This window comes from Homo sapiens, chromosome X, assembly GCF_000001405.40.
Source record: "Homo sapiens chromosome X, GRCh38.p14 Primary Assembly".
Lineage (NCBI taxonomy): Eukaryota > Metazoa > Chordata > Mammalia > Primates > Hominidae > Homo > Homo sapiens.
The window spans coordinates 17655220-17680523 of NC_000023.11; the positions used below are offsets into that span (position 1 = coordinate 17655220).

Sequence of the window (25304 nt, forward strand, 5' to 3'; positions counted from 1 at the left end):
TGCTGTTGGCCATAGACTAGGGATAAGGGAGGTGAGAAGAGAGCCACGGGGGTGCGGTGCTGAGCAGCTGCGGTCGGTCCAGCCTGTTGGTGATGTGCGGAGCCCGCCGCCACTCTGGGCATGGGTAACGCGCAGCCCCAGCGGTCGCGCTACGGGAGAAGGAAACACAGAGGTACAAGAAATCCGGATCCGGGATCCTCCGCAGCCTCCGGCTTGTCTAAGCTCACAGGCCGGGCTTTGTGGCTGGCTCCCGCGCGCCACCGAGTTTGGGGCTGGGGACTGAGTCCTGCAGCTCACTGCGGCTGGCAGCAGGGGACGGATTATTTTTAGCAGGTTCCCTTTAGCCCGGTGGAGCTGGGAGATACTCGCAGAGCCAGGCGGCTGTCCGTGGAGCATTGGTGCAGCCGTGCCTTGCTGCCCCGGAGGTTTGGCTGCCGCAGTCCTCTCCATTCACTGAGCTGTAAATCGAAGCTGTCTACACCGACAAGGCTCTCGATCCCAGCGTGGCCCCAGGGCTACGTCCCGCCCAGGTCTCCCGGCACCTGATTTCCCAGTGGTCAATTAGGTGTCTCAGCCTGCAGCATTGAAGCAGTGGAGGGGCCGATGCCCCTGCTTTGATGGAGCGCGCCGTGCGCAGAGACCTCCCCAGTCGACTTCCTCATCAGAAGGCAGCATCCATTCATAATTCTCTGCCTGTGGACCGAGTTAGGCTGGAGCTGGGCATGGACTCCTGCGATCTCTCTTTTTGCATCTGAAGGAGAAACTAAGATAAAAGGAAAAGGAAGGGGGAATGCAGTCCTAACGCAACAATGCGCTGGAAAGTCCCCGAGAGGCCTCTCTTTTGCGGGGAGAGGGAGAAGAGGCAGATTCCGAGCCCAGCGCCCCAGCCAGCTGCTGCTTCGCTGCGGAGCCGGCACGCATGCCTACCTCACCTGACGGCCGCATTCCCGGGGAGCCGGCGCGGGGCCCGGCGGCGCGCCCAGGGCGCACGGGCGGTAGGATTTCTGCACCAGGGGAACGATGCACGGGCGGGCTGCCCAGGGCCGAGCCTGAGCCTGAGCGGGCGCCAGGGGAGGCTAGCCTCGGCGTGGCGCCCCACCGCAACCCTCCGGGATGCTCCGCGACTCGCAGCCCAGGCCATGCGGGTGTGTGAGATGGGACCAGCCTGGGGGGAGGGGGTATGGGCAAGTGACATCATTTTAAACTAATTTCTCGCACCTCTGGGTGCTGGGTGAACTTGGGGGTTGGGGGAGGCTCGAGGCCAGCCGCGCGCTAGCCCGAGAGGAGATCCCCCTTGGTCGAGATCTGAGAGCTGGGTCCCCTTGGCAGAGCTGAGCGAGGGTGAGCTGACAGTCCAGGTGGACCGCGCATAGCTCGCAGGGGCAAAGGGAACAGCGCTGGCTTTCAGGGGTCTTTTATTATTTTTAAAAGCATATTGCAGCTGCAGCTTTTAAGTTTGCCGCCTCCTCCCTACCCTGATCCCGGGTTCTGGGGCGGGGCGGCACTTTCCCACGCTGCCTACCCTCTGGGTGGAGGGGTCTGCAGGGGCTGCAGCGCCTGGTGTTGGGTTTCCTGCAGGGGGAATGAGGATTCGACGGCTCTGTGAGTGGAAGGGCGCCCTGAGGTTTGGCCTTTTGAGGGCTTCTAAGGGCTGGGGAGAAGTCGAGGATCCCGCTTGGTGCCCTCTCCTGTTTTCCTGCCCTGCCACTTGGTGTTGGATGACATTTTGCCTGTGCAGGGGTTTCACTGTCAAGGAGCTGTGATGCTGTAAGGCAAATGGACTGTTAGGATGAGCTGGAAGAGAGGGGAGTGAGCTGGAGCTTTTCCTTTTGTGGCAGTGTTAACCCCATCGCCCCCACCTCTCTGGCGCACCTGTCCCCTGGGGTCACCATCTGTGCGCATGAGTGGGGCAGCCTGACCCACTAGCCATTCCAGGGACAGTGAGCCAAAGCTGGACTTGCTCAGGGCATGCTAGGCCAGGAATGTGTGGGCAGTGAAAGAGCAACACCCTTCCTCACCCCCCTGCGGGGAAGACTCAGCAGGCCCCGCCATGATGGTGCACAGTGTTTTGCCATACTGTGGTATGCTCTGGAGTTTTGGAGCTCTTGTTTTATGAGGCTTTTATTTTACAGTTTCTTGCCTCTTGGTGACCAGTTTGTTTTTCACAGCTGCTTGTGAGCAAGGCAAAGATAACGAGCATCTAAAAATAGCCCTGCAGTTGGAGGTACAGCTTGGCTTGACCCCGCTATTAGAGGGGTGGGGTCTCCGTTACCAGCTCCCTGAGGGTGGGCCAAACTTGGGCCCCCAGACAGCCTCAGACCAGGTCCACACATCCTTCAGAGCAATTCACCTTCAGGTCTCAAGGCAAGGCAGGGATGCTGAGTGCTGGTCCATGTGAGAAGGGCAGCAGCTCTGAGAAGCCTCATCCATTCCCGGGTGAGGCCCAAAGCCACTGGGCTGCAAGGCTGGAGGATGGGAGCCTGGACAGGGGTCCCTCTTTTGCCCCCAGCCATGGATATCCATCCCTGGCTTTACATCCCCTGGTTGGATCCAGCCATATGTATGGGGCTTCCTCCTTTGCACTTTAAAGCCAACAAGCAACTCCCTCACAGTGGAGTTCGTTCCAGAATACAGAGGGACAAAAGGGGCCAGGTGGCACTCAAACCATGCCAACTTCCTACTGTGTTCATAGCAGCTGGGCTACTACTCTTTCCTTTCCAGGTGGAAACCCCTGGACAGTTGGGTGAGGAGCCTCTTCCTGGTCAGCAGGAGGGTGGCGCCAGCCTGTCTGAAGGGGGCCGCCTCCAGCTGATGGTGAAGAGGCCGCCTGGAATGGAGATAGGAAGGGACTGAGGACTTTGCAGTGATTGCAGTGGAAGCAGGAAGTGCAGGTCTTCTGTGGGTCCTAGATTCTGTGAGCCTGCTAGGCTCCCCTCATTATTTATTTTCAAAAGCCTTCATTTCTTCCCTGTTCACTTTTTCTTTCGTGGTGATGGTGGTAAAGTCCAGCTTGAAGAAAAAAGGCCCCCTCTGTTCTTGATTTGGTTGGATGATAGGATTTTTATTTTTTTTGGCAAGAATGCATTAGCAATTGCTGAAAAATGTAAATGCCTATTTTTTTCTCCAGTGAAATAAATGAACTAAACAGCAAGGGAATGTAAGGGCAAGCATTCTCTGTTCAAGATGGAATCTACCAAGTGATTTTCTCCTCTCTTTCAAAATGAATTTTGATTGAAAATTTTTACCTTTATTTTCTGTATGTCATAACTATAATCACTGGGCAACTATTAAGATAGAGATCGTGACTGGGGGGAAGGAAGAGACCAGGAAACAGCACCTTTGAGATATCCATCATTCCTCTAGTCTTCTAGTGGAGACTTGCACACAGTTGCTAGTTTATCTTTAAAATTTCCACCATCTTTGTGTTCCCCATGGAAGACAAAGGATTAATGATGATGAAATGTAGTATAAGGCCAGTGCAACAGTGGCCAAGTTTGGCCAGCTTAGAAGAGTAGATATGGGAAGACCACGGGTTGAGATTTCAGTTTTTTAAGAACATCATTGGCTTGGCTCGACCTGTACCAAATAAGATATCAATGATCCCTTGGTCTTAAATAGAAAGGGCTGCTTCCTCTTGAAGATCAGAACCTAAACCAGCAATTGACTAGAGACCCACAGTGAGCATATTGGTCAGGGAAGGATAAACACCATAATAGGTGAGCCCCAAATTTCAGGGTTTAACACAATAGCAGTTTATGTCTTACATAATGTCAAACCAGCTTTTTGTCTTGTGATTATAAGGAACCTAGTCTCTTCTCTTCTTATGAATCTACCATTCCCTAGGGCCTTGAAGCCCCTGCTGGGTCTTCTGCATCCAGAAGGGAAAACAAGAACATGGAAGATTATCCTGGAAGCAGCACCTCTCACTCCCACCCACATTCCATGGCCAGAACTCAATCACATGGCCACATCTAACTGCAAGGGGACTGGGAAATCTAGTCTGTGTGCAGTTTGTGCTATGGCAGTACACTCTCTGGCATGGAGGGGCCCTTTTTAAGCTCTACTTTGAGATTGGACTTTGGCTCTGGACAAGTCATATGGCAAATACAGATCTCCATCTTAAAAATGGTGGTAATTCCACCTCCTCTTTCCTGTCTCAAAGGGATTTGGAAAGATGTAGCAACATAAAAGGCTCCTACAGGGACCATCTGGTCCAACCTCTGTAGGCAAGGTCATTATCATTTTCCTCAATTTATAGATAACTTTCCCCATATAACACAGCTGGTTTATGGCAGGGCTGAAATCATACCTAGATCCCCTTCTCTTGGCTTAGTGCTCCTTCTACCATGCTATGTTGACCCTGGCATCTTATGAAAACAGTTATATAGGATATTGTTTCTGAAAGCTGACATGCTTTCATAATGTGTAGTCATTAAAAGTGACTTCATATGATTTAAAATCCAAGTATGATCTTCTTCTGGTTCTTACTGTATAATCACTTATAATCAGGCAAAGAATAACCAGACACTAATCTATGCCCTGCACACATATAGCTCATTTAATCCTCACAATAAGCCTAGGAGGTAGAGGTTATTATTATCCCCATTTTACAGATGAAGAAACTGAGGCACAGAGAGAATAAATAACTTGCCCAAGGTTTTACGGCAAACAAGTGACAAATTTGGGATTCGATCCTGGGCACTATGGCTCCAGAATCCAACCCTGGACTATTTTACCATACTACCTTTCTGATCTGGTAGACTCCTTCTCCAGCCCTTTCTGAGATGTCCAATTGGGACATTTTTAATTTCCTTTTTAAGTGAGTGACCTTGAAGATCCATGAGGGGAGTCATTTGTAAATTTGCTGAGGCATGTCTTTGAGCCTCAAGCATATAAAATGGATACACAGGATTGAGCTACTCAGCTAGTGAAGAAGCTCAGCTCCCAACCTCCAGCTCCAACAGCCCAATGAAGCTTTTTTTTTCTTTCAAGATTTTTGGGATAGACACTACTGTGTAGTCCGTTACCACTGTGAAGTAATAAAAATGTCTGTTTCTTTGTGAAAAGCAGCCGTGGTCAACCATAACCTTTGGTGCAAGATTAAGAGGCAGTTGACTTGGTAGGGGCAGGCAAGGCCATCATAGTCACTTAACTCTGGAAGAAATTGCTTTTTGTGGTTGTTTATCTATTGTTGCAGGAGAAACCACCCCCAAAATTTACTGGCTTAAGATACAAGCCAATCTATTGGTTCAAAATTCTGCAATCTGGGAAAAGCTCAACTTGACAGCTCTGCTAGTCTTGCTGGTGGTTGGTCAGATGGTATGTCACCTGCAGGCAAGGTTCAGCTGGGTCACTGGGCTGGCTGTGCTTATGTCTCTTTCTGGGTAGTCTCAGGGATTCTCCCTCTCCACATAGTCTTTCCCAGTGGTCTTTCCATGTGATCACTCCAGCAGGGTAACTGGATTTCTTACCTGGCAACTCAGAGTGCCCAAGGGTGCAAAGGCAGGAGCTTCCAGGTTTTCTTAGGTTGGGCCTGTGTCTTGTTTTACCAACAGAATGAGGCAAGTCACAGGCCCAGCCCAAACCTCAGGTAAGGGAATTGACCAAGGGCATAAATAACAGGAGACCTGGAAGTAGACATCCACAAAGGTAAAGTCTGAAGCTTCTGTATTTACAAAGTTGAGGATTCCCAAAGATCTCAGGAGGAGTTGATGGTACATTAAAATGTAGGTTAGATAAAATCCATTCCTTTTGCTCCAATGGAGCAAGACTATTATATTAATAGATGCTTGATTCTTTCTTCATCCTGAAACTAACGAATCATTTATGCCCTACGGAAGCATCAAGGCTGTAGATGTGACTGCCCAAAGAGAAGGGGAACAGAAGTGTGTGACTTCTGCTCTCTTGCCGCTGCCATACTGTCTCAAAGGTATCCATTTTTTAAAAGGTATCAATACCTATCCTCAGACATAAACTAAGGATAGTTTCTGAAAAGGCAGGAGCATACCAATTGGATGAGAAGACAAGAATATTTATTTTTTCTTTTTATTATACTTTTAAGTTCTGGGATACATGTGCAGAACGTGCAGGTTTGTTACATAGGCATACATGTGCCATGGTGGTTTGCTGCACCCATCAACCCATCATCTAGGTGGTAAGCCCCGCATACATTAGGTATTTCTCCTAATGCTATCCCTCTCCCCTTGCCCCCCACCCCCTGACAGGCCCCGGTGTGTGATGTTCCCCTCTCGAAGACAGGAATATTTCTAATCTCCATTTACTTTTCTCTGGCAAGTCACACATTCCGAGGGGATTCAGCATGCACAACAGGAGTCCCTGCCTGCCTCAGGAGGTAGAGCTGCTCTCCTGCAGAAACAGGCTAGTGGGTTCAATCCATTGGGACTCCATTTCAGATTATTTTCCCCAGGCTTCTGAGTCACTGTAGTCAGTGAGGGTGCAGTGGCTACTTTGATTCACTGTCTACCCCTCTTCATCAGGGCTCAAGCACTTATTCCCCAAGCACTCATTTGCCAGGGCTAGGCGCGGTGGCTGACAGCTCACAGCTGCATCCCTCTTTGGGAATTGTCCTTCCCTGAAGAAAGTCACCCCGTCTAAGGTCACATTCCTTCCAAGGGCAGCACTCATCTGATGAATGGTCAATACGGTAGTATAAAGGCCCACTCACCTTGCCTCAACTCAGGACAATTCTACAGGGCCATCCCAGCTCTAGAGCTCCCCATGGGATGGGCTGAGCCTTTGTTGTGACTCTCCTAGCCCAACTTCTCGCTCTGCCCAGCCCTGCTTAATCCATTTCCTCCACAGGTGTTGCCCCAGAGAACATTTCCTGATATGCTTCCCACACCCCAATTTCTGTCTCAAAGCTTACTTCCAGGGAACTTTCCTGGAGGTCAAGTGAAGGAGGGGTTATAGATTGGGCTACTTCCTACTACAGGCTGGGCCACTGTGGGCACACACAGAAGTGGGACGTGCAGCCTGGGCCTTCCCCAAACTTCCAATTGAGAAGACATGACAAGCACTTAAGTGACAGCATGAGAAGTTAAGCAAACATAATGTACCAGAGTCACAAGTAAGTCTGATGCCTCAAGGATTTTCCCCTCCTCATACTACCCCTTACAACATCCCCCAAAGTTGTATTTTGTGTTTTTTTAGGGGATGGATGATTCATGACATTGATTATATGGTTAACAATTGTGCCTAAGTGCTCTCCCACCTGATTATTTCTTCCTTTGGGCATGGCACTGGCAATCAAAATTTATCTTTCAAATTAAGGCTATAATTATATTTTGATAAAGATCTAGCAATTCAATGAGAATGAAATTTTGAGGGTTGCCAGGATACGGATGACTCTGGGTTATAGAGAAGGGTTTGCATGCAGAATACTAATAGGTGGTTCAGCGCTCTTATCTAGACCTTTCCAATAGCGTCTGATAATGCAGGCCCATCAAGTACTGTTTCTCTGCTATTATTCTAGCAGAATAAAAGTGATGAAAGATATAAGCAGGGTTTTATGAATGAAAAGGTGATTCATCAGATGTCTTTTGGTCTATCTCACCACAGTTAAGAAATACAGTAATAATAATGTGGTGTTACCTCAAAATCTAGGAGACAAAAAGCTTTCTCTTATTTCCTTGCCTCCTCTTTTATTGTAAATAGAAGCAAAATGTCTTAGATATTGGGTTATTGTTTTTCATTGGGAATAGGGACCTGTGTTTGCAATGGTGTTGACTCCCAGGAAAATAGAAACAGTAGAAATTGGTATGATGTTATATTTTGACTTTTCTTTACTTTTCCTTTCCATTTTACTCTGATTATTATTCATTCATTCATTCAACAAATGTGGACTCCCTAGTATTGTGCAGGCTCTGCTTGAGGAATCTAAGAAAGTTTAAAATGGATAACCATGCATGGAAATAATAAATAATGACACAACACAGTAGCATCCAACATGTCATTTCGTGGCATGGAGGGGAGAGGGAAGGAGTAATATTTTTTGTTAAGTGAGATGTAATTTACATACAGTTGAGTTATGCATAAGTCTTAAGTGTTAAGTTCAATGAGCTTTGACATATACATCCATGTAACAACCTCCCAAAACAAGATATAATGCATTTCCATCATCCCAAAATGTCTTCAGTACTCCTTTCCAGTCTCTCTCCCACACCTTTTGGCAACCATTATTCTGATTTCTATCATATAGATTAGATTCACCTGTTCAAGAGCTTATATAAATTGAATCATAAGTATGACTTTAAAAAATGTCCAGCCTTTTTCATTCAGCATAGTATTTTTGAAATTTATCCATGCTGTTGTATGTATCAGTAGTTTATTCTTTTTATTGCTAAGCAGTAATCCATTGTAAGAATATACCATACTTTATTCATTGACTTAGGCTGTTTCCAGTTTGGGGATATTATGAATAAAGCTTCTAAGAATATTCTTGTACAAATCTTTGTGGATTTACATTTTTTGTTTCTTTTTGGTAAATATCTAGGAGTGAAATTGCTTAGTTATAGGGTAAATGTATGTTTAGTTTTATAAGAAACTGGCAGAGATTCTTCAAAAATTGTATCAGTTTGCACTCTCATCACCAGCATATCAGGGTTCTAGTTGTTCTGCATCCTCATCAATACTTGGTATGTCAGGAGCCATTCTAATGGATATGAAATGGTATCTCATTGTGGTTTTCATTTGCATTTCTGTGATGACAAATAATGCTGAACACCTTTTCACGTGCTTAGTAGACATTCATATATCTTGTGAGGTGTCTAATTAAGCCTTTTTCTCATTTTTAATTCTTTGTCTTTTTATTATTGATATTTTTTATTTGTAGTAGCTCTTCATATACACTGAGTAAAAGTTCTTTGTTAGATATTTGTATTGCAAATATTTACTCCCAGTCCTTACCTGCCCTGTTTTTTAATAGTGTTCTCTTGATAAGCAGAAATTTTTAATTTTGACAAAGTCCAATTATCAATGTTTTCTTTTATGACTAGCCTCTTTTGGGCACGGTCAGAACAATCTGCTTCCCTCAAGTTCATGAATATTATTTCATACATTTTCTTCTAGGAGTTTTATGGTTCTAGCTTTTATGTTTAGGTCTATGGTCCTTCCCTAATTACCGGTTGTGTATGGAGTAAGGTAGGGTCAAAATTCATTTTTCCCCATATGTATATTTAGTTGTTCCAGAACCATTTGTAAAAAGAAAACCAGAAAACTCCTTCCTTTCTCCCATGGAATTGACTTAACGCCTTTTTCAAACAATCAGTTCAACTGTGTATGTGTGGGTCTATTTCTGAATTCTCTGTGCTGCTTCATTGATCTATAATGTCTACTTTCTTGCCAAAACCACACTGTCTTGACCTCTGTAGATTTATAGTAAGTCTTGAAATCAGATAGTAAAAATCCTCCAAATTTGTTCTCTGTCAAGATTGTTTTAGCTATTCTAGAACCTGTGCATTTTCATATACATTTTAGAATCAGCTTGTCAATTTCTTCAAAAAAGCATGGTATGATTTTGATTGGCATTCATTTGAATATATGGATGGATTTGGAGAGCATGGACATTTTTAACAATGTTGTATCTTCAGGCCCTGGATATGCTATAGCTTTTGATCATATAGGTCTTCTTTAATTTCTCTTAGCAAAGTTTGCAGATTTTAGTGTAGAGGACTTGTATATTTTCTGTTAGATTTGTTTGTCCTTTGTATTTGATATTTGTGATGCTATCATAAATGGTATTCTTTTCATTTCATTCTCTAATTTTTCATTACTAGTTTATATATAATAATACATAAATAATATATAATCAATTATATTTATATGTATGTATATATAAATGCAATTGATTTTTATATATTGACCTTTTTGTATCCAGCGACTTTTCTAAATTCACTCTTTAGTTCTAGCAGTTTTTTGTAGATTCCATAGGGTTTTTAACCTACACAATCATGTTGTCTAAATAATGACAGTATTCTTCTTTTTTATCTTTTGTCTTATTACACTGGTGAGAGTGTTTTTTAAAATTCTTCCCAATCTTAAGGGAAATCAACATTTCACCATTAAGTATATTACCTATAGATTTTTTTTTTTTTTTTTTTTTTTTTTTTGAGACGGAGTCTCGCTGTCGCCCAGGCTGGAGTGCAGTGGCGCAATCTCGGCTCACTGCAGGCTCCGCCCCCTGGGGTTCACGCCATTCTCCTGCCTCAGCCTCCCGAGTAGCTGGGACTACAGGCGCCCGCCACCTCGCCCGGCTAATTTTTTGTATTTTTAGCAGAGACGGGGTTTCACCGTGTTAGCCAGGATGGTCTCGATCTCCTGACCTCGTGATCCACCCGCCTCGGCCTCCCAAAGTGCTGGGATTACAGGCGTGAGTACCTATAGATTTTTCAGAGATGCCTGTCATCAGGTTTCCATATTAGGATTATATAGACTTCATACAATGAGTTGGGAAGTGTTCTCTCCTCCTCTATTTTCTAGAAAAATTTATGTAAATTGGTATTATTTCTTCCCTAAATGTTGGATGGAATTCACTGGTGAAGCCATCTGGGTCTGGAATTTTCCTTGTGGTTTTTATTAAGAATTCCATTTCTTTAGAATTTACAGGACTACTTGTATTTTCTGTTTCTCCTGTGTCCCTTGCTAAGTTTTTCAAGGAATTTTCTGTTTCATCTAAGTTGTTAAATGTATCAATACTGTAGGCTAGAGTAGGCAGAAAAACCAAACATATCACCTGAAGTAGGACTTTGAAGAGAAGAGATTGGCTAGACAAGGAGGGGAGTCCTGGGGAAAGAATGGTGTGAGAAAAGACATGGGGTGTGGGATTACCAATGGTGTGGGTTGTTTAATATGGATTATCCCCATCTGGTTGTAGTGGAAGTTTTGGGTAAAGAAGAAGTGGAAAATGATGATAGAAAGATACCTTGGAGCCAGATCAATGACAAATTGTGGAGTTTAGATCTTATGTAGGAAATGAAAAACCCCTATATTATTTTCAAACAGGGGCACGGCCTGCAGAAATGGTATTGAGGGAAATGATTTAGAATGATGGATTGGTGAAAGGAGAAGGGTAGAGGTAAATGCAACTCTTTTAGAATGGTGCAGTATGCAGTGGTAAGCACTGCCTAGGTGAAACAAATTTGATAAAGAATGGAGCTAGGACCAAGTAGGGAAAGGCCTCTGAGTATTTCTCTGTACACAACGTGGTGTTATGCACCTAGTACAAACTTATCACACTCTTAATATTTTCTCTGTTCCCATATCCATCTCCTCACCTGGACATCCAGCTCCTCTGGGAAAAGACCCCAAGGTTTATCTATGCTAAAGTACTAGTGCCAGCATGCAGTACACACTTAGTTAATACCAAGTGAATGAATGAAAGCTGAAAATATGAATGAGCAACTGGATGAATGAATGAGTGAATGAATGAATGAATGAATGAGCAGGCAGGATAAAAAACTGGATTCATCAGGATAGGATAGGCTATGCTATGATAACAGATAAGCCAACAAAGCTCAGTGCTTTAACACAATAAAAGTTCTCTTCCTTCCTTACACAAAGTCTGGTGTAAGTCATGTACCCTCCTAGCAGCACGCGAAAAGAGAGAACAAAGGCTCTTGGGAAGTTTGGTTAAGGATCCAGCCTGGAAGTGGTGTACATCACTTCTGCCTACATCTCCTTAGCCAACACTGAGTCATTTGGCCCCCATAGAACTGCTGAGAAAGCTGGGAAATATGGATGTGGAATGGAAATTTGGTAAACACTAAGGACACTTAGAAAGGAGCAAAAGGGAGCTCTAAAACCTATTTGTTATTGCTTCCAGCCTGAGAGAAAGCTAAGTCCTAGAGATGTTAAGGGACTTATTGAGGACTCCCCATACGGATTACAGATTACTTCTGCCAATAGAGCTCAGACTCTCTGGCCTGCCTTTCAGGCTTTAATATTTATAATCTCGTGGCTCACTTATTGCTAACTAATTTTTAGAAGCCAACTCCTCCAAGAGGAACTGTGAGCAGAACGAAGCACTAATAGACTCTGCCGTTGGTTACGTGGTAGCTCCAGCCAGAAGCACAAATGGAGAGAGGCAGGATATGGGTTAAGGCAGGGAGTTTTGAGGATAAACCTCCCAGGAGTCAGCAAAGCAGTCCTGCTTTGGGAGGCATCTGTGCTAAGCTCATGCCAGCTGCCTAAAGAGAACTCCACATCGTCTGTGATCTGGAGTCTCCTGTTCAGGATCAAACTAGCTGCCTCCACAGGGCCTGGAATGCACGGCGAGGGCTCTGTGGCTTTGGAAAATGCTGCCGAGGTGTCTCAGGTGGAGCCAAAGATGTGAGGGGAAGCACCTCATCTGCCGCAGGAGGGTAAACTAGATGGAAGGAGGTTGTGTTCCTCAGCCAGATGTAGGTATTGTTTGGTTTTCAGAGTGGTGTGAGCATCACAGATGATGAAGGCCAAGCACATGGGATGAAGCTTGGCCTAAGGCGAGTTCTCAGGAGAAGGTGTTGGCAATAGGAGGATAACCATGGAGCAGGAGAAAAGAAGCCTCTCATCTTTCTTAGATTTGGCAAGGAGAGGGGGCATCAATGACAATGCATAGAGCCTGCTGCCTTCCCCTGGAGGCAGCTTCCCTAAGCGGGGTCATGGACAGTCTCCCAGCTCCCCTGCACCAATCAGTGGTTCCACATCAGACTTTTCTGCCTCACATTTTTTTTTCCTTTTTAAAGGTACAGTTAAGGGCCAGGCATGGTGGCTCATGCCTATAATCCTAACCCTTTGGGAGACAAGGCAGGCAAATCATTTGAGCCCAGGAGTTTGAGACCAGCCCTGGCAACATGGCAAAACCCCATCTCTCTAAAAAAAAAAAAAAAAAAAAAAATTAGCCAGGGGTGTTGGCACACACCTATAGTCCCAGCTACTCAGGAGGCTAAGGCGGGAGGACTGCTTGGGCCCAAGAGGTCAAGGCTGTAGTGAGCTATGATCACGTCACTGCACTCTAGCCTGGGTGACATAGTGAGACCTTGTCTCACACACACACCCACACACAAAAGTACAGTTAAATAGAGTGAAATTAAGAATACAAAAAAAAATGACAGAACTCTCAGAAAATGAGCCATCAGAGAAATGAGAAGTGAGCATATTGGAGGAAATCATGAAAGAAAGGATTAAAGGAGATACTGTAACTGTGAAATGAGGAAAGTAAGACCTGTTCTAATGCCCTTTGCCTCACTCCTTCTGTTCCTGCATTCTGGCTTTGCTGTTCCTCAAACATTCAAACAAGATCTGACCTTGGGTCCTCTGCACTTGCTGTTCTTTCTGCTTGGAATTCTCTTACCACACATTTTCACACAGCTCACCCCTTCACTGGATCAGGAGCCTGCTCAAATGTCACCTTTGCAGAGATGCCTTGCCTAACTACTATCTTAGTTTGAATTCCCCCAGAAGTAGACCCTGAGACAAGGATTCAAGTACAAGTAGTCTATCAGAGAGATGAACCCAAGTAACACAGCAGGGGAGTGGGGAAGTGAGAGGGAGAAGGGAAAGGATCTAAGAAAGGTATGCTATCAAGCAGCCACCGTGTGGGTAGCTGTGCCTCAGTCCTGCTGAGGAACTCTGGGAGATAGTGTAGAACACACTTCAGAGTTATCTTGACCACAGAGGAGGGCATCTGTTACTGCTCCAGTGCGTGCCCTGTGTGTGGGCCAAGCATTCTCCCATTGTCAGAGGGGAAAAAATCACCCTTAGGCAGAGGGTCTTGGGGAATCATGAGAAGCAGCCTTCTGACTGTTGAAGTGAATGCTGAAGGCACATTGGCAAGGCAAGAAGCATCTGCCACAACATCCTCTCTAAAATAGCAACCCCATCACGCTTTATCACCTTGTTCCACTTTCTGACTTCACAGAATTTACGCCACCTGACAGTACATCTGTATGCTTATTTGTCATCTATCTCTCCCAGTAGACAGCAAGTTCCAGGAAGACAGAGAACTCATATGTCTTTCAGTGCCTCAGACGGAGATAGTGGGTGTTTGGTAATTATTTGTTGAGTGAATGACTATTCAGAGAAAGACTGAAACTCGTTGACATCAATATTATCCTCAGCACATGAAAGAGTGAGAGAAGCAGGGCAGAAATCAGTTGCAGGAACGAACGTAAGCATTGGACAATGAGGGCCATAGTAGGGTCTTCAATATGAATGGATAAGAACGTTATTCCAGTTTCCTGGTCTGATGTTTCTGGGGACTTAAAGATTTCATCTTTGCCATGGCCATAACAGCTATTATTTTTTGACCTATATACCAAATGGAAACAACAACAACAACAAGAGTTTCTTTGCAGGCTGGGAAATTTAATATATCCAAAAGAGGGCACCCTAGTCTTGATCCACTAGAGGGCTCAGGCCAAGGACAACAGGGAAAGAAATGTGAACGGGACAAAGGAAGGAAGTAGGGAGAGAGAGTGATGGAGAAAGTGCGGTTCAGGGAAGCAGGTGGCAAAGGAAGGGCCTAACAACCTTGGAGTCCTCACTAAAAATGGAATATTCAACTGGGATTTTATTAACTTTGAGATGAGCTTTTGGGGACCTATTCAAGTAAACACAACCCACCCCAAAGCCCCAAATCCTCACTTGTTACTGTAAAGGCCTGTTAGTCCCATAGTTCAGGCCCTGAATGCTCTGCTCCAGGCCCCTGGCTTGAATTCACCCCAGGAAGAAGAAACTTCTGCAGTATGTTGTTGCTGAAAAGGCAGCTTGCCTGGGCAGCCCCAGTAGATCCTGCTCTCTGTGGCTTCGCAGAAAACCCCATCACAAAGGACACTGGCATTTCTAGAATGGACTTGAGCCCATAGCTACTATTGAAAGAAGACTCAGAAGTACACAATGGGAAGCTGACACAATGGTGAAAGGGATGGGAATCTGGGCATCTCTGTGTGCCACTTGTCCCCAGTGGCTTTTGTTCTGGAAAGAACAGACTTTTCTGTGGGTGGATAAAAGGCAAATAAATGTTGTATTCACCAAACCTATTGGTTTGACAGCTTTTAAAAGCAAGTTACAAAAAGTCAGAAGAGTGGCCAAAGCTCATTCTTAAATAAAATGAGATTCCCAAGTTGTGTTTAGGTTCCAATTGCCTTCTCTTCAATACCTTTATCTTTTCATGTAAACATTCTTGCCCTGATATTTAATTCCTCACAGAACTGACAGAAGAAGCCTCATAACCACCCACTAACAGGGGTCTGTGCTATGTCTACACAGGACTGAATCCGCACATTTAATTGAATTCACTGGCAACTTTTGGGAAACATCCAGTTAGAGGACTGGTTTATGGGTTGTGTAAGTGTAATGAAATAATTAATGGTTCTCATTTGTTACTGGAATGACCAGATTAGCCAGCTGTTTTTGCAATGTCAAATTCTGTCAAAAATGCTTGTGTCTGGAGTTGAAGATCCATTGTTAGAACAGTCAGTGTGACCCTACATGTGGTTTGGGCCATTGCTTGGGTTCAAAACAGACCTTTAGTCTGATGACACTGACTCATTCCATTCGGTTTGCAGGTTGGTGTCATCTGCAATTTCACCTCTATTCCAATTGCTGCATGGGTTTGAGGGCTTAAAAAAATAACACACAAAAAAGTACTTCCTTACTCTTTGAGGTTATGGAGTAGCCCGTTCCTTTTCTGATCATGATCTTTGGCCAAGTTGGTCTGGCCTGGATGTCTCTGAGTGAGTGAACTCTGCAACGAAAGTCACTCTCTGGGGCTGAAGGGTGCCCGAAGGCCAGAGGTGGTGTTGGGTTGGGTGACTTCCTGAGAGGGTGCTGGGAAGGCATCTGAGCATGGGCTGGGCCACAGGCACTCCCAGTTCCTAATGCACTGCCTGAGGATCCTCCCTGAAGAGAAATCAAACTCACCCTTTGGGCCAACCAGGTGCTTGCAGCTTTCACTGGCAAGTCTTGGCAAGGGGTGTGTTAGAACAAAGAGTTACTCCACCTGCAGATTCCAAGAGCTAATTTGAAGGTTGAGTTAGAGAAGAAAAAGCAAAAGAGGGGAGAAAAAAAGCCAGCACTCAGCAGAGCTGCAGCAGAAAAGCAGAGCCCCATTTAGTGTACCCTCCTGCACAATCTTCATTTCTGTGGATGCCCCAAAGCAACTCCTAATTCAGCCTGACTCCTATGCATCAGGCTTTCAAGGAAAAGCTTTTGTTAATACTGACTGTAAATTGAGGGGGTGGCTTTAGCAATGTTTTCTGAAGAACAAAAACTTTGGCAGATTATTTCTGTAGCACACTGGTGTATTTAACAACATTAGACAACCTTATTAGTTCATAGAGGAAGCATTTATGCAGTACCTACTATGTGTCCAACACTGTGCTTGATGCTGAAATATAGAGAATAAATACTCCTTGCCCTGAAAAAGCATCTAGTTTGACAGGGAAACAAGCAATTAAAACAGTGTATGGGTGGTCCTGTCTTGTTAACCCAGGTCCCCGATTCAGAACTGATCACCATTTAGGGAGGGGCTGTGATAGGATTACATTTGTATAATAGTAGTCTAGAAATCATGTCTTCTCAGCAAACTAAAAGAGGAAAAGATGAAAACATTGGTCTTCCCCTTACCTAAAAGTTCCAATGACTTAAAGGGACATAAAAGCATCCATTGACATGATAGAGCAGTGAAAGCAGAAGCCCACTTCTGGTAAGAGCTGGTAAGATACCAAAGCACTGGAAGGGCGAGCCTCTAACTGCACTCTTGCCATCTGAGTTGAGAGGGATGGGACATACAGGAAGGAAAAACTAAAGAAAAGCACATAATCAAACAATGATACAATAGAAGCCATGTCCTAGGCTAAATAGGGACCAAATGAGTACTCATAGCAATGATATAGCGAGTTCATTGAATTAGTGTACCATTAGCTGCTGTAACAAACCCCAACATCTCAGTGGCTTAATAAAATTCAGGTTTATTCCTCACTTGCATAGTGTCCAAAATGGGTTTTGCCTCATTGGTGGGTAGCTCTTCTCCTAGCTGGAATTGAAGGATGCAGATTCCTTCCATCTTAGGAATCTACTGTCTTCAGTAGATGACTTCTAAGGTCTCTGTACTCATCTTCATCAAGAACATGAAAGGGGATGTGTGGGAGGTTTCAATGGGCCAGGCTGGAAGTGGTGTGTGTCACTTCTGCTCACATTCTACCAGGTGGACCTCACCATATGGCACACCCAACTGCAAGGAAGGCTGGGAAATATAGTTTAGCTTTGTGCCCAGAAAGAAGAGGAAACGGCTTTGGTGACCAGTGAAGCCAGATGGCCACTCTGAGCTACAGGAAGAGGTCATTCCACTAGCTTTCAGCTCCATGTGGACAGGGACCCTCACTCCCTCTCCTTGGTGTCTCTGATGCCTACACTTGAGAATCTCAGGCCTTCCTGGTCAGTAGGTCGCCATTGTCATTTCCTCAATGCCGCACCTCCCACTATTCTTACTCTCTTTCACATCTCCCTGTTTTAGTTCATCAGAGTGCTTATCACTACCAATGACATTCTTCCTTATTAATCAATTTACTTACTGGCTTTTGTCCTACCTGGAAGTAAGTTCCATAAGGACAAGGACAATGGCGCATGTCATGTCCACCATTCTATTGCAGTGCCTAGCACAGTGGTTGGCACATGGGAAGTCCTTAATAACTCATTGATCAATGAATGAATGAACCAACTGGGCCTTGGGAGGTCTTGGATGGCTTCACAAAGGAGGTGCAACTCGAGCTTGGTATTGAGTAGAATTTGTCTGGGAGGAGAGATCAAGTAAAGAAAGGACAGATTAAAAGGAGACAAAAAGGACCACAAGATATACAGATTGAACCATTTATGGAATTGAGCCAGATCCATTCAACTCACGTTTGAGCACCTATTACACACAGGTCAGTGTTCTAGACCATTGCTTAGCTGGAAGATGAAACACACACACACACACACACACACACACACACACACACACACACACACACACACACACACAAGAAAGCTCGTCTGAGCCAGGGACTAAGACACTTCCCTTTACATAAGAGGGTTAGGCTTCAGCTCCACATCCCGGCCACCAAGGCCCTCCACTGAACCACTTCAGTCTTCCTTTCTGGGGTGAACATGGTCTCCCCACACCAATATCTGCTCCTTTGTGGGGAAGTGATGTGGGGCAGAAAGATCTTGGGCCTTGGAATCAGATGTATGTGCTTCCAGTCCTGCCTCTATGGCCCTCGAGCAAGCAACTTAACCTTTCTGTGCCTATACAGTAAGTTGGAGATAATGAAATGTTCATCCTGGGTTTATCATGGGAACCAAATAAGATTAGCTATATTGAGGGCCTAACCTGCTGTGTGGTTCATGGACATGCTCACTAAGTCATCTTCATCTTCTTCCTAAGCAGCTCCCTACCTGCGCCTCTCTGATTCACATGACTCCTGGCCAAGCCACAGTGAACTACTCCTGGGACCTATATCAACAGACTCATTCTAACCTTCATATTAGGTTGGATCACAGGAAATTGCTAATATTAAAAAATTTTTGCCTCAAAAGGGAAATTCCAAATGGTTTAACCTAACGCTTTAGCATATGCTGATCTCTCCCAGCATTTGCTGATCCTATCCAGCCCTTAACCCTCCTCCTACTTCAATGTTACCTCTTCCCTGCACCCCTTCCCTAACCAGAGAGCATGTCTTTTGAACTTGTGTGGCAGCCCACTTGATCCTACCTTGGATTATCACCTAATTTGTCTAATATGGCTACCAGGTTATAAACTGCTTGACGGCACTGACGGTGTTCCTTTCTCTTTAAAGCACCTCTGCACAGTCCCTTGGACATAATAAGAGGTGACATGTTTCCTTTCCCAGACCCAAGTGTGATTAGCTGGGGCCTCCAGTACACTCGGAGGGATTGGGGTCAAGCTTTGCTGATGATCCTCCGCACCATGCCAGCCAGCACCGGGGCCCAAGGCACTTATTCTCCAATGCGACCCTCTAGAATCAGTTGCCTGTTATAACTTTGCTCTCTCTTCTCCCCTCATCTCTGTCTGCCTCAAACCAACCGGAGAAGAGAAGCACAAAATGCCTTGAACTTGGGAGGGGGAAATAGGGTGTCATTTATCTGGCTTGAGCGATTATTGAGTTTTTGGCTCTTCATTTGCTTACTTAAGAGTTGTAACGTTGAACCACATGAAATTGCCAATATTCAACTATTTTGACCTACAAAAATGTCAATTTCATAGGGTTCAACCTAGTTTTTAGTATTTGGACTCAGGCACAATCACTCAGGGGTGAAGCTGTCTGATCCCTGTGTGTGGTCTACTCACCAACTCCTTGGTAGAGAGATCCCCATGGAGGCTACTCATAGCTTCTGATGGGCCTGTGGCCTTTAGTAGATTCTGTCATTGCTTGTGGAGTTTCCATCATAGGCTCTGGATTCAAAAAGGGCTAGTTCATATTTCCCTTTTCCCTGCAGGTGCCAACATATGTGTTTGATCTCTGGGATAAATGCCAAGACCTCCAGACTTGAGTTTTCAAGTCTTCTGGAGATCAAAGGCTCTCCTCATCACTGTGTGGGCTTCTCTGTGCTGTTACTCAACAAAGCAAGGCCAGCTCCTGCAAGGGCCAGTGGCAGAGTTCACGAGTCAAGGAAGGAAGGGGAGGAGCTCCTAGTTTTCGAAATACTGCAACATGTGGAGCAGATGAATGTGAAGGGAAGGAAGGCTTTATGTTTTTCTCAAATAAACTGGAAACTTAAAATGCAGGAACTTTACATGAATTTTAGTTATTTATTAACTAGATCCACCTGAATGGGATGGCCAGGAGCCTTTCATAGTTTTCTCATTTTATGTACCCAAAGGAATACACAGGACCTTAGCAATCATTGCACTCAACACCTTCAGTCATTTCATGTGACTTCCAAACAAAGTACCCTTTACTGTACATTGCTAGTAGAAAATATCCTAATGACAAATGAAAAACAAAAAGAAATCTAAAACTGAATTAAGTTGTCTTATTGTAGTCATTTTGCAACTATTCAAATAAGTAATTATGCCATTAGGAATCAAGATTTTCAGCACAAGAGAAAATAGATCAATTATAAAATCAAGGAAGTTAAATTAAAATCTGTAATCTTAGATTTGAATTGGCAATAATGTTTTAAACTCATGATTTATTTTCACCTTCTGAAACTTACATATTTTCTAGTCCTGTCTACTGAAGAAGTCTAGAACCAATGACAACCTAGCAACGATGAATACCCCTACCATGCAGAATGTGGTCTCTAAAGTCTGTTTCCTCTGAGAGGAGTCAGGGCTTCTTCAAGAAAGGGCTGATTCTAGGTCTGAGGCAGCAAATGTGCAAGATGAACGTAGGACACCTCCCTTGACACCACTGCACACTCAGCTAGACTCAAGCTAATTGAGTCTCACAAGAGAACCCATCTCTTCTGACACCAGAATGAATCCATTATGGGTTAAGTATTTGCCACTCATCTAGCTATGTCTATTATAGAGAGCACATAACTCATTACAAATACCTAGGCTTTTGGGATGGAAATGTCCTTGGAAAAGAATGTCTTTTGGCTTGCAGGCTCATGTATTTATATCTTCTTTGTTGGCCCAATAAAGAGCATCACTTCTCTGCTACCTGCAAAGATACTAATTAGCAAGTAGTGATTCTAAGTAAGTGTAGTGGAGGTGGTATGTGGGGCCTTTTGTAAGTATTTTAAAATTTTCCATCATCACTTATGCTCTCTAAGTAGATTTTAAGAGACTAACCTCCACCTAGGAGAAGGGATTTATTAGCATATATAATTGGATGTCATGTGCTAATTACCTTACTGCTTCACAATCTAACCAAGCCAAGGGCATCTGTCCAAGAGGACAGAAGAGGCTCCATGCGCCATATTGGAAAATAGAACCCTTTTTTTCTTATATCCAGTGGCTGAGTGCAGTGGTTCTTGAATAAAATGGCGATTTTCACATGCTTTTTCTGACCTGCCTGTCCCACTCCAGCTCCATTTTCTTTCCTGGGATGTCAGAGGCACCCATGTTTATGATACCTCATCTTAGTTTGAACAGGAGTGAAGCGATTTTAACATGTCATACTCATCTTCATGGGTGCATTGCCTCCTTTCTTCTCTATTTTTCCCATGGAGAGAGCCTGCTCTCAAGAAACTATGAGTACTAAAGGATGATACTCACGGTCTTCCCTGTAATCAGCCTCACCTGGTTCATCTCAAATAATGGAAACAGATTTGTGTCATTCACCAAGGAGTTTTATTTTTAACCCTTGTTAAACCCATAACTATTTGTTTCGCTCTCCTGAAAGAGCAAATTCCTTATTTCCGATCAGTATTATCTTTCTATACTTTTACTTGTTTGCAAACTTGCAACACTGACAGTGTCTCTTCAGGGGGTGTGGGGCTGATGAAGTAAGGATTGGGTCAAGCCCCCATTTCTCCTACCCTGGTTTAAGCTCAGGCGTGGAAGCCTTGAAAACTGGCACAAATGTTTCATGACTTGGTGATGGGCTGGTCATTTTCAGTACAGGTTGCTGAAAAGCAAGCACTTTACTGCTATCTAAGAGCACAGTGGCCCTTCTGGTAAAGCTAACCTTGGAGTTGAACTAATTATTAGATTGAACTATTGAGATAGTTTTTTAAGGTCAAGATGGTTGAATATCACCAATTTAATATGCTTCAATCTAATACCTACCTTGTTACCTGGCCTCTGTGGTCCACTGACTGGCAACATCAGCATCCCCCTGGGACTTGTTAGAAATGCAGATTCTCAGATCCCATCCGAGACCTACAGCATCAAGATTTCTGGCAGTAGAATCTGTTTTAACAAAGTCTCCAGGTGATTCCTATGCATACTGGAGTTTGGGAAGCTCCATTTTAATCTATTATGTTAATATTTAAGTCTGCCTTTGAGGGCAGCCTTCTTAGTTCCCCAATGGTGTGGTTTGTATCCATACAGCCTCACATACAATGATGGTTCCTGGTTAAGAACAAATATTTCCATCAGCATTGTTGAGGCAGGATGGTACATTTTGACAAGAACAATTATGAATCCTCTGCCTATTGTGTGCTCTGTGGAATGGTAGCTTAAACAGTACAATTTCTAGCTTTGCCAAGCGACTGCCACCTTAGTGTCTGGTGTTTTTAAAAGGATGTACCTTGCTGATATATATATATATCAAACACTAGGCCATGTGTACATCTAAGATGCCAGTCTGCTCCCCATCCTTTGATTAGGGAGCTGGACTCTGGGGTTAGCTGTGTCTTGATAGCCTCTGTTCAAACTGGCCAAGGAAAGGACAGCCCAGTTCATGCTAAGGAGAGCAAAATCTCCAGTCTGGCCCATAGCATACTCACAATCACATGGAGAATGTGGCCTCGACAGGGGTTTTTAAAGAGAGATGCTCCTTGCGGTCTGTGTTATAACTGGGAGCTAATCCAAATCCAATGCTGGGAGAATGGGTAAATAAACTACAGTGCACCCACCTGGTAGAACATTATACAGCTGTTAATAAGTATTGAGGTTGATTCACAAAGGAAAATTCTTTCATTTCGTTTTATTTTTGAGACAGGGTCTCACCCTGCCACCCAAGCTAGAATGCAGTAGCACAATCTCAGCTCACTGCAGCCTCCACCTCCCAGGCTCAAGAGATCCTCCCGCCTCAGAGTACCTGGGATTACAGGCGCATGCCACCACACCAAGCTAATTTTTGAGGTTTTGTTGTTGTTGTTGTTGTTGTTGTTTGTAGAGATGGGGTTCTGCTGTGTTGCCCAAGCTGGTCTTGAACTCCTGGGTTCAAGTGATCTGCCTGCCTTGGCCACTGCGTTTGGCCAAATTCTTTTATTTTTAAAAAGCAGTATACAATAGAGTATATATGCTATATCTCAACTATTTAGAAACGTACTTGAAAAAATTGCTTGGAAACATGCTAGCATGCTAACAGTGGCCTTTGGTGACAGGATTAAGAGTGGCTTTTTGTTGTTCTTTTAGACTTTTTTGAATGACTGTGGGTGTGTGTGTGTGTGTGTGTGTGAGAGAGAGAGAGAGAGAGAGAGACAGAGAATTAGTCTGTTCTCACACTGCTATAAAGAAATACCTGAGACTGGGTAATTTATAAAGAGAAGAGGTTTAATTGGCTCATGGTTCTGCAGGCCGTACAGGAAGCGTGGCAGCATCTGTTCCTGGGGAGGCCTCAGGGAGCTTTTACTCCTAGTGGAAAGCAAAGCGGAAGCAGGCTTCTTACATGGCAGGAGCTGGACTGAGAGGGGTTGGGGAGAGGTGCCACACACTTTTAAAGAACCAGATCTCATGAGAACTCACTATTGCGACGGCAGCAGCAATGGGGGTGGTGATAAACCATGAGAAACCACCCCTGTGATCCAATCACCTCCCACCAGGCCCCACCTCCAACACTGGGGATTGCATTTCAACATGAGATTTGGGTAGGGACACACATCCAAACCATATCAAAGAGAGAGAGAGAGAGCTGTATTTTAATCTTTGTAGCCCTTTCACTACTACATAATAGACATTTAATAAATGCTTGAAAGAAATAAAGAATAAATGAATACTACCTCATAAGCACTTGGAGTGACAGGGATCCTGTCTTAGCCATCTGTGTGTCCCCTAGTTCCTAGCCCAGAACTTTGCAAAAGTAGCTGCTCAATACAAGTGAGTGGGTTTGAATGAAGGCCCAGACTCCCAGAGCTGCTGGACATGTCAACTTTATCTAATACATTTTTCCTGCTGAAAAACCAAGTTTGTACTGCACCTGAGTCAGTGCTTTCTATAAATCAGAGACTCTTCTAAAATATCATCAGGCCCTAGAATGTGTACTATCTCTCTAAGGTTGTGCCCTCCCCCACTCACTTTCCCCACCCCTGCAATTTTTCTTTGTTTTACCACATTCCCCTCTCTACCCCTTCTCTCTAACCTCTTTTGATAATGCCATCCATCCCCTCTCTAGACCCCTGTGAATGAGAATTTCTTCTTTGTATTGAATCTAAATGTCTTCTATTGCAATCCTGTGGATAAATGAAACCCATAGTTGGTGCAAAACCCCACTTGAGCTATTTGTGCCAATTTCATTTCCCTGCCAAAGTATACAGGGAGTCATTAACAAGTAACAAAAGCAATCAAACACATTTCCTTCAAGAATTTACATGGGACAATGCCTGGCATTGTCAGGGATCTCAAGAAGTATAAGCTGTGGCTCCTCTTGTCAGAGGCATAAGGATGTGGCTGCAGATGTGTATGGCAATCTAAGATAGTCTGTGAGGAGTGCAAATGAGAGGTGGGAAACAGTGAGTGGCCCAGCAGCTTGGGAGTGGGAAGTAGAAGGCTTTTGTTGAAGATGAGGCTTGGAGGGTAGATAGATGGCAAACAGTGCAGGCATTCTAGGTATACAAGCCAACCAAGGTAACCAAGTTGGGCTCTCCTTTTTCCCTGATCCAATCCTCTTATGAGTTATTTGCTCTGGAAAACTCAGAATGCAAAAGAGACAGAACACAGGGAAGGAAAGGAGTTCAGATATTTCATATACTGAATACCTGAGTACACTGAATACCCAGCTATCTATCTTTAACCAGAATGAAGAAAGGGGGGGGGGGTGTGCGTTTCCACTGCTGTAGCAAAGGTTTTCCATCAATGTCATCTTTCCCTGATGATATGTATACTCTAAGTCTCAAAGTGGCTTATAGTTGTTACTGGTAAATGGGCAGGGCCCTCTCTTGCAGCCATAGTCTCCTCAGAGCAGCTCTTGGCGGGTGTGTCCTTCTGTAAATAAACACAAGGCAAACCCTGGCTTCTGTGGCTGGTTCATCTCAACAACTGCTCTCTGAGCTGAAGTGCACCTGGAATTTTAAAATAAAAATGGATGGAATGTGTACTATCCACAGGTGAGAAGTGTTTTTTTTCCCCTCCTAAAGACAACCTGATAAATGTGAAAGGTAGAAAATAATGACTGAGAGATATGAAGGGTGCAGAAGCTAGGCTGATTATCCCCATGGGAGGAAGAGGCTGCTGAGGGAAGTGCATGGGCCTGGGCTCAGAAGACATTGGCTTTGGTTTTTGCCTCTGCCAAAAATCAGCTCTGTGATCTAGGGTCAAATATTTTAATCTCAGTTTTCTCATCAGCACATGAAAGGAGTGGCCTAAACAGTGGCTTTCACAGTGTTTTGACTGCTATTCAGAGTAAGAAACACATTTTTACATCACAACCCAGCATACACACACACAAACACACACGTGTGTGCACATGCAC

The 25304-nt window shown here is 44.3% G+C and overlaps 1 protein-coding gene across 5 annotated transcripts in view, besides 2 other annotated features; it reads left to right on the top strand.

Moving 5' to 3' along the window:
• The window catches only part of NHS (NHS actin remodeling regulator), a 360795-nt gene that overhangs the window by 280020 nt on the left and 55471 nt on the right, over nt 1-25304 (top strand). Inside the window, exon 1 of one of the 5 annotated variants that reach the window (NM_001440780.1) lies at nt 865-1145. The exons of the other annotated variants lie outside the window; for them this stretch is intronic. Coding sequence (NP_001427709.1) covers nt 920-1145 — 226 coding nt within the window. The 5' untranslated portion in view covers nt 865-919. Of the gene's footprint in view, nt 1-864; nt 1146-25304 lie in introns of those variants that run through there. 5 annotated transcript variants of the gene reach the window in all.
• Nucleotides 674-1385: an enhancer, noted in NCBI's record as "H3K4me1 hESC enhancer chrX:17674013-17674724 (GRCh37/hg19 assembly coordinates)". NCBI's record gives its function as "activates a minimal SCP1, AML or CMV promoter by ChIP-STARR-seq in naive H9 embryonic stem cells {active_cell/tissue: H9 hESC(naive)}" and the evidence as "EXISTENCE:reporter gene assay evidence [ECO:0000049][PMID:30033119]".
• Nucleotides 1386-2096: an enhancer, noted in NCBI's record as "H3K4me1 hESC enhancer chrX:17674725-17675435 (GRCh37/hg19 assembly coordinates)". NCBI's record gives its function as "activates a minimal SCP1, AML or CMV promoter by ChIP-STARR-seq in naive H9 embryonic stem cells {active_cell/tissue: H9 hESC(naive)}" and the evidence as "EXISTENCE:reporter gene assay evidence [ECO:0000049][PMID:30033119]".